The sequence below is a fragment of the Homo sapiens genome, chromosome 13, assembly GCF_000001405.40.
Source record: "Homo sapiens chromosome 13, GRCh38.p14 Primary Assembly".
NCBI lineage: Eukaryota > Metazoa > Chordata > Mammalia > Primates > Hominidae > Homo > Homo sapiens.
Genome location: NC_000013.11, coordinates 26,347,660 through 26,360,910, shown reverse-complemented (window position 1 = coordinate 26,360,910; position 13,251 = coordinate 26,347,660). Strand labels below are relative to the sequence as shown.

The following is a 13,251-nucleotide window of genomic DNA, read 5'->3' as shown; positions in this document are numbered from 1 at the left end:
AGCTGAAAGGATTTAAAATGCAGACGGATGGGGGGAAGCTTTTGTGCACCACTTCACTGCAGTAAATCATAGTAGAGGTAAAAGGGTAGTAAAAAGAAATGCAAAAGGATATGCATGTGTCTGTAGATATGCATAAGCATTAGGTAAAATCAGAAATAACCTTGGAAGCCACTTTGTTTCTGTTACAAGTAAGCTAGTTCATTCATTCAACAAACATGCAATATTGTATACACAAATTGTGTATTTTGGTAGGCAGTGGGAGGCATACAAACACAGAGTAAGACACAGTCTTTGCCCTCAGGAGTTTATAATCAAATAGATTACCATATTACCAAAACTAGTAAGTGGCCCATGGGTGGTTCAAAGTAGCTGTAATAGGATTTTAGATATAAACATTCTCATTTTCAGCTAGGGTGACTAGAGAGAGTTTAATTTCGAGCTATGAAGATGAAGGGATGAGGGGATTCAAGCAGGCAGGGCAACCTCTGAGTTGGCTGGAAAATTAGCTTAAGGAGTAAGATAGGGAAAGAAAAGAAGATTGGAGCTGGACTACATATCAGTCTTCACTTAGATTCACAAATACCAGCATATTTGACAATGTGTTTCAATTTTCTTTTTGTAGAGACAGAGTCTCACTATATTGCCCAGGCTGGTCTCTAACTTCTGGCCTCAAACAATCCTCCTACTTTGGCCTCCTAAAGTGCTGGGATTACAGGCATAAGCCATCATGCTTTGCCTCAAATTTTTAATTTATCACAGAATTCTTCCCAGTAAAAGAAATATTAACTGACTTTGAAATTTATTTCACAAACTGAATGAGAAAAGCATTCCTTTTTTAAGTTTTATAAAAAATAGTTTGAAGTTCTACTGAAATCAGTTCTACTGAAAGAGGCCAGGCCAGGTGCAATGGCTTATGTCTGTAATCCCAGCACTTTGGGAGGTCGAGGTGGGCAGATCTCTTGAGGTCAGGAGTTCGAGACCAGCCTGGCCAACATGGCAAAACTCTGTCTCTACTAAAAATACAAAAATTGGCCGGATGTGGTGGTACACGCCTGTAATCCCAGCTACTTGGGAGGCTAAGGCAGGAGAATCACTTGAACCTGGGAGGCAGAGGTTCAAGTGAGCTGTGATCATGCCATTGCACTCAAGCCTGGGCAACAGAGTGATGACTCCATCTCAAAAAAAAGAAAAGAAGAAAAAAATGAGGCCACATAGCTGCAGTTAGTGAAGTTGTCTAGATGCTCTCAAAATGGTCACAACACAGGCTTCAGTAGTGAAAAACCGCTCATGCCCTTGCCCATGTGTTTTAACTCTATCTAGAAAGGAGGACCACTTTTTCAGAAACAGTTCAGATACCATTGCCAAATCAAAACTGGGCTTCTACACAAACAGTATCAATACAACTTTGATGCATCATGTCTTGTTATTTGACTGTGCTAAGAAAAATTACCAAACTGAATCCAATCAGGCTAGCAGACTTCAAACTTTTCCTTATTATGAATCACTTAAACATATTTTCTCCCGATGTCTTTTATTGTGGTAAAATACACGTAACATAAAATTTATCAACCATTTTAAGTGTACAGTTCAGTATTAAATGCACATTCATAATGCTGTGCAACCACCGTACATCTCCAAACTCTTTTCATACTCTGCATCCATTAAACAGTAACGTCCCGTAACTGCTCCTCCCCTCAGCCCTGGCAACCACCATTCTACTTTGTCTCTATGAATCTGACTACTCAGGTACCTCATGAAAGTGGAATCATATGGTACTTATCCTTTTGTGACTAGCTTATTTCACTTAGTATAATGTCCTCAAGGTTCATCCTTGTACATATGTCAATTTTCTTACCCAAAAGAAATTTTGTAATTTTTATTTTACAGACAGAGTCTTACTCTGTTGCCCAGGCTGAAGTGCAGTGGCACAATCACAGCTCACTGCAGCCTCAAACTCCTGGACTCAAGTGACCCTCCCACCTCAGCCTCCCAAGTAGCTGGGACCACAGGTGCATGCTACCACACCCAGCTAATTTTTGCTTTTGTGGATATGAGGTTTCACTATGTTGCCCAGGCTGAGAAGTTCCTTCCTTTTTAAGGTTGAATAATATTCTATTGTATGTACATACCCCATTTTGTTTACCCATTTATCCACTGATGGACACTTGGGTTGCTTCTACCTTTTGGCAAGCTACTGTGAATAATGCTGCTATGAACATGCATATACAAATACCTCTTTGAGACCCTGCTTTGAATTATTTTGGGTATATACCAAGAAGTGGAACTGCTGGATCATATGGTAATCTTATTTTTAATTTTTTTAAAAACTGCCACAGTGTTTTCCACAGCAGCTGTATTATTTTACATTCCTGACAACGGTGTTAGAAAGTTAAATGTATCTTTACTTGTTTTCACAGTATTTCCCACTTAGTCCCTTCTTTATAATACGAGGTAAAAATTCTTAGAATGCCTTAACTCAATACTCCTATTTTAGTAACAGCAGGGAGAGAGGGGGAAGAGACAGGGCAAATAACTTACCTCACATTATTTTAACTTGTGCTTCTTGTTTATTCACTTGTATAGGATGACTTTTTTATTTTTTATTTTTTTTTGAGACGGAGTCTTGCTCTGTTGCCCAGGCTGGAGTGCAGTGGCGCGATCCCAGCTCACTGCAAGCTCTGCCTCCTGGGTTCACACCATTCTCCTGCCTCAACCTCCCAAGTAGCTGGGACTACAGGCACCCGCCACCATGCCCAGCTAATTTTTTTGTATTTTTTTTAGTAGAGATAGGGTTTCACCATGTTAGCCAGGATGGTCTCAATCTCCTGACCTCATGATCTGCCCGCCTCCCAAAGTGCTGGGATTACAGGCGTGAGCCACCATGCCCAGCCAAGGATGAATAATTTGATGTGTAAATTTGGCTGGACCATAGTGCCCAGATGTTTGGTCAAACATTATTCTGAATGTTTCCGTGAATGTTTTGTTGGATGAGATTAACATTTAAATCAGTGGACTTTGAGTAAAACACATAAGGACTATCCTTAACATGGATATGCCTCATCGAATCAGTTGAATGCCTTCATAGAACAAGACTGACCTCCCCTGAGCAAGAAGGAATTCTGCCAGCAGACTGTCTTTGGACTAGAGCTAAAACTTTTTCCTGGGTCTCCAGCCTGTAGCCTGCTCTGCAGATTTTGGATTTACCAAGCCTCCACAACTGCATGTGCCAATTCCTTAAATAAATCACTCTCCATCTATGTATAAACACCTTGTTGGTTCTGCATCTCTGGAGAACCCTAAGCAGTATAGATGGTAATACCAGAACCAGGACTATAGTAGACTGGTAGTCAAACTATTTTCCCTTCCCAAGGAGAGAAAGAGAATAAACAAAGAAAAGGGAAGAGAGTCATCAAGGGAAGGAGCAAAGCTAACTTAACAGACATAACTTTGTTCTTATTTACCTCTAGTGGACACAGACAAGTGTATAAGCAACAACTTACATATACATATTTTAATGTTCTAAAACTAAAAAGTTTGGTTTGGATCAATGAATTACTTCACAAAATAAATACTGCTTATGTTTCTTTTCTGGTCCATATTTCTTAAAACACCCATACATTTACACTGATTACGACTCTCAGCTCAAAAAGATTTCCAGAATTAATAAATCTCTATTTTCCCACCAAGGATGCCGGATTTCAGCTACTGATCTGCTTCTATGTGATAATTAATAGCAACCAAATAAATCATTATTTATTAAATAGGACTGTTAATTTTAAAAGCTCAACTATACATATCAAAGAAATTCATAACTCTACCATCTCAAACCAGTATTTCTATTAATTAATAAAGCCAATTTTATTAAACAAAGACATCAATAACATTCCAGAGTATTATTAAAATGGTGTTTTTAGGGTGTCTGTGCCAATTATCCACCTTAATATGAAGTTTCTTGTGGCATGTCAGCCAACTGGTCCAATTCATAGCATTAGAAATCTATGAAGAGAGTTAAGGTCAGCATTATCACATTTGATCTAAATCTGACTAAACAGGGGTAAAGAATATAATGAACTATTAATTTTTGTTTTGATAGGGTAAATATTTCATATGCAAGTAACAACAAATATTTGAGAAAAAATGTTAAAAAAGTTATGTGATACAGCTTCTGAACAATGTTCTTGAGAGTTAATATCATATTACTACATACATTAGAATCATATGTAGCTATTGTTCAAACACTATAAACATTAAAACTTTAAAACTTTTTCAGTTGGCAGGAAGGTGTTCACATTTTAAAATGTACATATATGGTAAATGAGATTTTTCTTCAGAAATTGAAGAATTTGAAAGGTGGGCATCTGAACCAGTAGGATCTAGATTAGAGGCAAAGGCTATCATTTTCATGAAACAATGGTTCAGTGGACTTCTGCGTGCGTGAGACACACAGAAGGGTCAGACGTTTATAAAGAACACTAAGTCATGCACAGAAAATATGGGAAATCTCACTCAAATATGGAAATCAAAGAAGATAGCAGCAGACACTGCAGAACTTTTTGGATTAATAAACTTTAAATAATGGCAAGAGGGATGGAGGAGTAAGAGTGATTTGCCTCACCGTAGAGAAATATTTTATTACTGAAATTGTTCAGAATTGCCAGCATATAGTGACAATAAAAAGCAACTAACTTTTAATGTGCTTTATTATTATTTTTAAATCATCTACAGATAATGCATCCCTTGTTGCCTATATTAGGGGGCACCAATCCTTCCACTTTCCACCACTTAGTACACCACTAACAGACAGAGCCTTCTGAAATGATCTGTTCTATACTACCCCTATGTCAAAGAGAATCTACTTAAGATGCATTAGCAGGAAGAGCTTTACCATAAGAGAGATAAAAGAAACTCGGTATCATAATTTTCACTACCATACTTAATACTAATCTAAGTGGCTTAAGTATATTTATATTATTACATGAAATTTAAATATTGGTTTTAAAAACCAGTCTGTATTTACCTAATATACATATGTATTTCAAGTGAAAAAAAAATTTACAAGAAAAAGAAAATGTAGAGCTATCTTAGCATAACTGACTCTACGGGGAAAAAAATGTCCTTAAGCCACAGTTTTTTCTTTTAGAGATCATAAAAAGGACTGGTAGCTCAAAAGTAGAAATGTTTTTCCCTAACTTGACTCCACCCCAATGGCCAAAATTTATTTTGAGCTTCACAAAATGCCAAAGGATTTGTCTTATTTCTGTTATGTAAATCTATTTTTTGTTTTCTTTTATTTTTTAGAGATGGAGTTTCGCTCTGTCGCCCAGGCTGGAGTGAAGTGGCGCGATCTTGGCTCACTGCAACCTCAGCTTCCTGCGTTCAAGTAATTCTCTGCCTCAGCCTCCCGAGTAGCTGGGATTACAGGTGCCCACCACCACACCCAGCTAATTTTTTGTATTTTTAGTAGAGACGGGGTTTCACCATCTTGGCCAGCCTGATCTTGAACTCCTGACCTCGTGATCCACCCGCCTTGGCCTCCCAAAGTGCTGGGATTATAGGCATGAACCACTGTGCCTGGCCTGTAAATCTATTTTTATAAGTGAAATATTCTAACTGTATTAAAAATAAAAGTTTGCATAAAGAAACAAGTTCAACCAAATTTCTGCTGTTACTGGTCCTAGTCTAAATGCTTTGTAGGTATGAGAACTGGAGATAAAGTAACTAACATCAAATGTACTACAAGGCAATTCCCTAAAGCTAGAAGAAAGAAGTATAAACTGTGCCACTGGAACAGCACATTGAAGGCCAGAGACTAAATCCACTAAATTTGTGAAGAACATCTTTGCGAGAGACCAGATGGGCTCCGCCTCATAGCCTACAGGATATTTCCTTTGTATACAGGTGATTAGAGACAAAATAATCACTTTTAGCATTGTGTTTATATTTGTTTGAAATGAAGGTGCCTTTATAAACCTTATTATATAGTTACTATCTTTACAAAGAAAAGAACTATAAAAGCAATGTAATTATGTAGTAAGAAAGGGCAATTTGAAGTTTAGGTAATTTAAATCCATGAAAATTTAATGAATAATAATATGCTAGACCAGCAGTCCCCAACCTTTTTGGCATCAGGGACCAGTTTCATGGAAGAAGTTTTTCCACGGAGCGGGGTGGGAGGGGATGGTTTCAGTATGAAACTGTACCACCTCAGATCATAAGGCATTAGCTAGATTCTCATAAGGAGCGTGCAATCTAGATCCCCCGCATGTGCAGTTCACAATAGGGTTCTGGCTCCTATGAGAATCTAATGCTGCCACTGATCTGACAGGAGGCGGAGCTCAGGTGGTAATGCTCACCCACCGCTCACCTCCTGCTGTGTGGCCTGGTCCCTAATGAGCCATGGACTGGTCTGTGGCCTGGGGGTTGGGGACCCCTGTGCAAGATGGGTGAAAAAAGGCATAAATGACTTTGCAACGTAAAATTAAAAAGTCAGTTTCTTAAGTTTTTAAATTCTCAAAAGTTCAATGCACCTGAACACAGCAAGGCTTCTAATAATATACTTCAATTATGATTAATAAAGGTGATTGGCCAACAGACTGCTAATATAGAGGGGCTTAAAATATAAGCATATTGAATTAACATTTTCCTTTTCTAATATGTAAATTAGTATGCAGTAGGCTCCCAAAATTTTATTTTCAAGTTATTATAAATATATAAATTTCTACAGTTGGCCTTGTATCTAATAATCAATTTAAAGCAAGCCAATGCTTTATTTATGAACTTAAAAGGAAACAGAAGCTTAGGAACACAAATGTCTCTTCTTTCACTTTGAAATAAATACCATCTAGTGTATGTCAGAGAAGCAGGAGGCATTATATAAAAACACTACTAGGCCATGTTTTGAGAAGGTAGCATTCTCACTACTTCTATAAGGTTTGCAGGCCTACATATAGCACTGGTATCTACAGACGACTAGAAAAGTATCCAACTGTAATGCATCTTTCTAGTTTAAACCAATTACAGGTCAACTTACCAAATCTCTGTGCAACACCCAGTTAGCATGCAGGTAGTGAATACCATCTAGGATCTGATATAATAGTGACTTCACCATTCCCCGAGGTAACTGAACTGGCTTCTTGTTTGCTTTAGAAGCTCTGTGAAACTTGATTATATGCTGAAAGAAAGAAAAAAATATCAACAGAAGCTTAAAAAAAGGAAAAGATAATTTGATGTATAATATTTTCCTAACAGAAAAAGAAACACTCAGGGATTCCCATAGATATTGAAAATATAATTTCGTACTCTGCTGAATAACATAAACAACTTTAAAATTCCCTAATAACTGGGGCTAAAATTCCATTTCCTACCCATATGACAGCATTTCAGGAGATAAATTATCACAATAGGGAATCAGAAAATATTGTGCTTTTATTTTTAAAGCATAATTAAAAATCAATTACTTTCAGAGTATACTTGATTCCTGTTTATCTGGTAGATAAAATGAAAAAAAAAAAAGAACAAAATTCAAGAGATACTTCTGGCTGGTTGACATAGCATAGAATTAGAACCTATTTATGACACAGGTTATAAAGAAAGCAAGTGGGGAGATGCTTCAATAAAATACACACAAGCACAAAGAAATGATATACCAGTTCACAATGGAAAAATGTAAAAATGGGAAAGATTCTGAGGAAAATAAAAACTGCCTTGTACCATCCATCAAAGCTTTCTATGTATAATGTTGTTAGACATCCAGTAAAACAAAGCACAACTTTATACATAGAAAAATTACTTTATGAATAAATGTGCCTTACAAGTTTTTTCTTGAAAAGTTTCAAATGCTCTTGATAGGACTCATTTTCTTAATTAGATCACTCTTAAATTGCAGGAAAATCTATAACTCGGCTGCAGTAAACTATGCCTTGCACACCACTGTACATATCCCTGAACCTAATATTGCACAGAGCAGACCCTTGGCCAATACATGTAAGTAAATATTAAGCATGTTCTTGAAATTAGTAGACATAATAAAAATAAGAGATATTTAACATTATAAGTTAACATTTTCACTTGCTATTTTCTTATGATATACAGAATATGACACAAGTAAGGAATAACTAATGATTAATGAATAAAGGAGCTTTACTCTCCAAGGTAAAAATATATAGCAAATATCTACGAGAAGGTAAAGTGTAGCAGTTTGCACATATGTAGTATGACTAATCTAAATTAGCAGCATTAATCTACTTTAATTTTCTTCTCAGTCTTTTTTTCAAAGTATTTAATAGCAGGCAAACAAAACAGAGCTACAACAATTTAATAATCTAGGCTGTTTTGTCACCTGTCCTAAAATATGATGTGACAATCAAGTCTGTTCTCCTTAAGAAGAAGATTCTTGGGCCGGGCATGGTGGCTCACGCCTGTAATCCCAGAACTTTGGGAGGCTGAGGCGGGTGGATCACGAGGTCAGGAGATCAAGACCATCCTGGCTAACACGGTGAAACCCCGTCTCTACTAAAAAATACAAAAAATTAGCCGGGAGTGGTGGCAGGCACCTGTAGTCCCAGCTACTCGGGAGGCTGAGGTAGGAGAATGGCGTGAACCTGGAAGGCGGAGCTTGCAGTGAGTGGAGATCCTGCCACCGCTCTCCAGCCTGGGCGACAGAGCGAGACTCCATCTCAAAAACAAACAAACAAAAAAAACAAGAAGAAGATTCTTTGGCTCTCTCCAAGCTTAATAAAAACAGGTAAAATAAATATAAATAAAAATAAAATAGGTTAATTTTTTGAAAAAAAAAAAATTAAAACTCTGCCGCAGTAAGAATCAAAGGAACAAATATGTAGGAGAGGTAAGGTAATTAATCAATTTCATATATATTTCTTCATGTACACTTTCATTAGAGTATTACAAGTGACTTTTTTTACCAATGTTTTAAAATGACAAATCCTACTGTCATTTTCTTTATATTCCAGGGCTACATAACAAATGCAAAATATACATACCATGAAATCTCACCAACGCCTAAGTGATTTTTAAAAATAACTATTTTTATTGCGACTGCCTTGTTACCCTCTGCTGCCTAACCCCTACCAATTCACTTCAACATTCCAATTAAAATAGATAAAGGAGTGGGTTTTAGTAGGCTAAATTATCATTTGTTTTTTATGAAAATGAACATTAAAAATATTTATTTGGCTTAAATATTATTAAGATGATGATAAAGCTAATGAACTAGTTATATGCACTGTACAATATTACCCACAATAAAATTTGCTGAAGTATAATCATTGTACCTACATGTAAAATTAAATATTACAAACTAGCAGCTAGAAATCACATTGAGTGAAATATTATACTATCTTCTATGCTCTACTGTGGTTTATCACAAATCTTGTTTATAAACCAGCCTGGAAAATGCCTTAAGTTTAAATTATATGACTTTATTTCTTATGAGGCTCAGCATAGTGAGTGTTCAATTTAATACTGGCCACGCTGATTTAACAGGGTTGATCTGATTAGATTTCTTTTAAAATAGAAGAACAGAAGAACCAAAGATTTAAAAAAAAAGAAGAAATTAATAACCAGCATGAACTTTGGAAAGAGTTTCATAAAAGAGAGAAAATTTCATGTATACATAATAAAAAGCATAGCCATGCTAATTTAGTAAATATAGATTAGTATGCAAATCAATACAATGTTTAAAGACATTATTAAATATCATTTAAAAAGCAGTTCACAGGAGTATAGTAATTCTTAATGAATTAACACAAGGTAATGTTAGATGTTTAGTTTACTTGTTTCTTAAACTATAATCTGTATTAACAGATGTTCTCTATACAGATTGATAAGAATGTCAATTTTGTTACTATGTTTCAAAATTACTTTGGCTATCCTATTATAGATTTTCTATATATATATCTCAAAGTTTTATCTGCAAGGTAACGTTTCAGATTTTTAAAAAATATATAAATGTTATATTTAATAAAAGAGCAAATTTTATAGTTACCTTAGAGTTCCTCAAATACCAATTTAAAAAATAATCTGCTTAGTAAACTGCAAAATACTGAGGCTGGTGTTTGTATTTCAGCTACTCAGACAAGATAAAATTAAGTTCTTATTTTACAGTAATTTTTTTCAATATAGCATCATTTTCTGCAATGCATTAGATAAACTAATAAACTGGCTGGGCTCAGTGGCTCAGGCCTGTAATCTCAGCACTTTGGGAGGCCGAGGTGGGCAGATCACCTGACATCAGGAGTTAAGAGACCAGCCTGGCCAACATGGTGAAACCCTGTCTCTACTAAAAATACAAAAATTAGCCGGGCTGGAGTGCAACAGTGCAAACAGGACCCACTGCAGCCTCGACTTCCTGAGCTTCAGCCCCATGAACAGCTGGGACCACAGCATGTGCCACTGAGCCCAGCTAATTTTTTTTATTTTTTGCAGAGACAGGGTCTTGCCATGTGACCCAGGCTTGTCTCAAACACTTTGGCTCAAGTGATCTTCCTGTCTTGGCCTCCCAAAGTGTTGGGACTACAGGTGTGACCCACTACACTTGGCCTAAAACTATTCTTATCATAGGTCAGAAAACAAAGAACTAAAAGTCCCAAGAGATATTAAAATTTATTTTCACACGAATCTTATTTTGTAATAGAGCTCTCATCCACAAAAAATTCCTCCAATGCAAGATTATGCCCAATTCAAGTAAGTACAATACAGTCATGCATCACTTAATGAAGGGATACATTCTGAAAAATGTGTCGTTAGGCAATTTTGCAGTTGTGTAAACATCACAGACTGTACTTACACAAACCTAGATGATAGACTCTACTACAAACCTAGGCTATATGTTATAGCCTCCTGCTCCTAGGCTACAAACCTGTACATGTTACTGTACTGAATAAGGAAGGCAATTGTGACACAATAGTAAATAAGTGTGTTATCTAAACATATGTAAACATAGAAAAGGTACAGTAACAATATGGTACTATAATCTTAGGAGACCACTATCATATATGCAGTCCCTAGTTGACAATAACATTATATGGCGCATGACTATACTGTATTGAACTACTGCCACTGAAAATAAGAATTAGGATATTAAATTCAATTGTGAATAGTTAATAATTAATAACAGTTTCCTACATTTGTATATTTATAAAACTTTTCAAATACAAGATTGTTCCTCAGAAAAACGTTGTTAAAAAAGGCAAGAAAGTATTACATTTTACAGATGGGGTAAACTACAGCTTCAAAGCCATTAAAAGACTTGCTTAATGCTATACGACAAATAATGGTAGAACTATTAGATCTCTCCAAAGATAGCATATTCGTCCTCCTACATGAGGATACCACCTTCTCATTTTATGTTCCCTTTATACAACGAAATAAAAGGAAATATGCTACTTTTCTATTTTAGAGCAAAATTTTATATATATTAGTTACTTTTTATTTTATCAAAAAACTATATGAAGCAATATTGAATAGTTGTTGAACACTCTTTAGATTCTATTGTTTTCTTTAGTATCTGTTAAAAGATCAAAGTGACAATATTGAAAAGTAATAATACAAAGTCAAATACTCTAGCCTTCGTCATGCCACCAACCACACTCTATGAGGTTACTTTTATTTTAAAAACATAAGTCTCATAATAAGCAGAACACCTAACTGTTTTTAGTTACTCTTAACAATCCCTGACTGTTTGCTCATGTCTGCCAGCAATTCACCTTACCCAGAGGTCATGTTCAGCATAGTCAAACAGAAGCCACACCTTCCTATCAGCATGAGACAGAAACACCTTTTGAAGAGAAATGACGTTTGGATGCTTAAGCTCTCGAAGTAACTGCAAAACAAAGGAGATGCATTAACTATTTCTGTCACAAAAATAATGTAAAAAACCCCACACCATTTGTAATTCAAAGGCAATACAAACCCACAGGTAAACAATCTTAAACATCTAATAAGCACCCACACAATTCTGAGACGGATACTTCAGTAACAAATGAGAAGATATCTGTGAGGAAAAGACACTGAACAGGTATTATCTGAGTAAATCTATTTTGTTGTTGTTTGGTTGGTTATTTTAATTTTTTGATTGTGGTAAAATATATCTAACATAAAAAGACCATTTTAATCATTTTTAAGTGTACAATTCAGTGGCATCCTATAAGTATATTCACAATGTTCTGCGATCACCACCACTATCCATTTTAGAATTTTTTTTGTCATCCCAAACAGAAACTCTGAATCCATTAAACCAGCGGTTCCCAACCTTTTTGGCATCAGAAACCATTTTTGAGGAAGACAAATTTTCCACGGATAATGGGGTGGAGGTGCAGGGCGGGGGCTGGGGGAAGGGGCAGATGGTGGATGGTTTCAAGATGAAACCGTTTCACCTCAGATCATTCATTAGGCATTAGATTCTCATAAGGAGCATGCAACCTAGATCCTTCACATGCGCAGTTCACAATAGTGTTCAAGCTCCTATGAGAATCTAATGCCACTGCTAATCTGACAGGAGGCAGAGCTCAGGTGGTAATGCTCGCTTGCCTGTGGCTCACCTCCTGCTGTACGGCCCAATTCCTAACGTACCGGTGCTGACGCAGGGACCCCTGCGTTACACAATAATCCCACCGCCTTTTTCCCCAAGGCTCTGGTAACCTCTACTCTACTATCTGTCCCTAAGAATCTTCCTAATCTAGATATTTCATGTAAGTGGAACCATACAATATGTATCCTTTCATGCCAGGCTTATTTCACTTAGCCTATTTCATTCTTTATGGATAAATATACTCCACTCTATGCATATCTATATATATATCTATATAGATATATATATAGATATCACATTTTGTTTATCCATTCATCTGTTGATGTTCATGGATTGTTTTCACCTCTGGTTATTGTGATTAATGCTGCTATGAACAGTGGTATACACTATCTGATGAAAGTCCCTGCTTTCAATGCTTTGAGCATAAACCTAAAAGTGGAAATCCTGGATCAAATGATTGCTCTGTGTTTAACTTTCTGAGAAACCACCAAACTTGCAGCTGTACCATTTTACATTCCCATCTGCAATGTATGAAGGTTCCAATTTCTTCATATCCTCACCAACACTGGTTATTTCTCCCTTTTTTCCCTTAAAAATTAACATATATCCTAATGAGTATGAAGTAGTATCTCACTATGGTTTTGGTTTGCATTTGCCTAGTCAATAATGGTGTCGAACATCTTTTCATGTGCTTACTGACCATT

General features: G+C 36.2%; 1 protein-coding gene across 4 annotated transcripts in view; it reads right to left on the bottom strand.

Annotated features, from left to right (window-relative positions):
* CDK8 (cyclin dependent kinase 8) overlaps window positions 1-13,251 on the bottom strand; it is a 151,110-nt gene that overhangs the window by 44,328 nt on the left and 93,531 nt on the right. For all 4 annotated transcript variants that reach the window (XM_047430033.1, NM_001260.3, NM_001318368.2 and 1 more), the window contains 2 exons: window positions 11,729-11,839; window positions 7,031-7,171 (listed from right to left, as the gene is read on the bottom strand). In XM_047430033.1, the coding sequence (XP_047285989.1) occupies window positions 7,031-7,171; window positions 11,729-11,839 (252 nt within the window). The remainder of the gene's footprint in view (window positions 1-7,030; window positions 7,172-11,728; window positions 11,840-13,251) is intronic.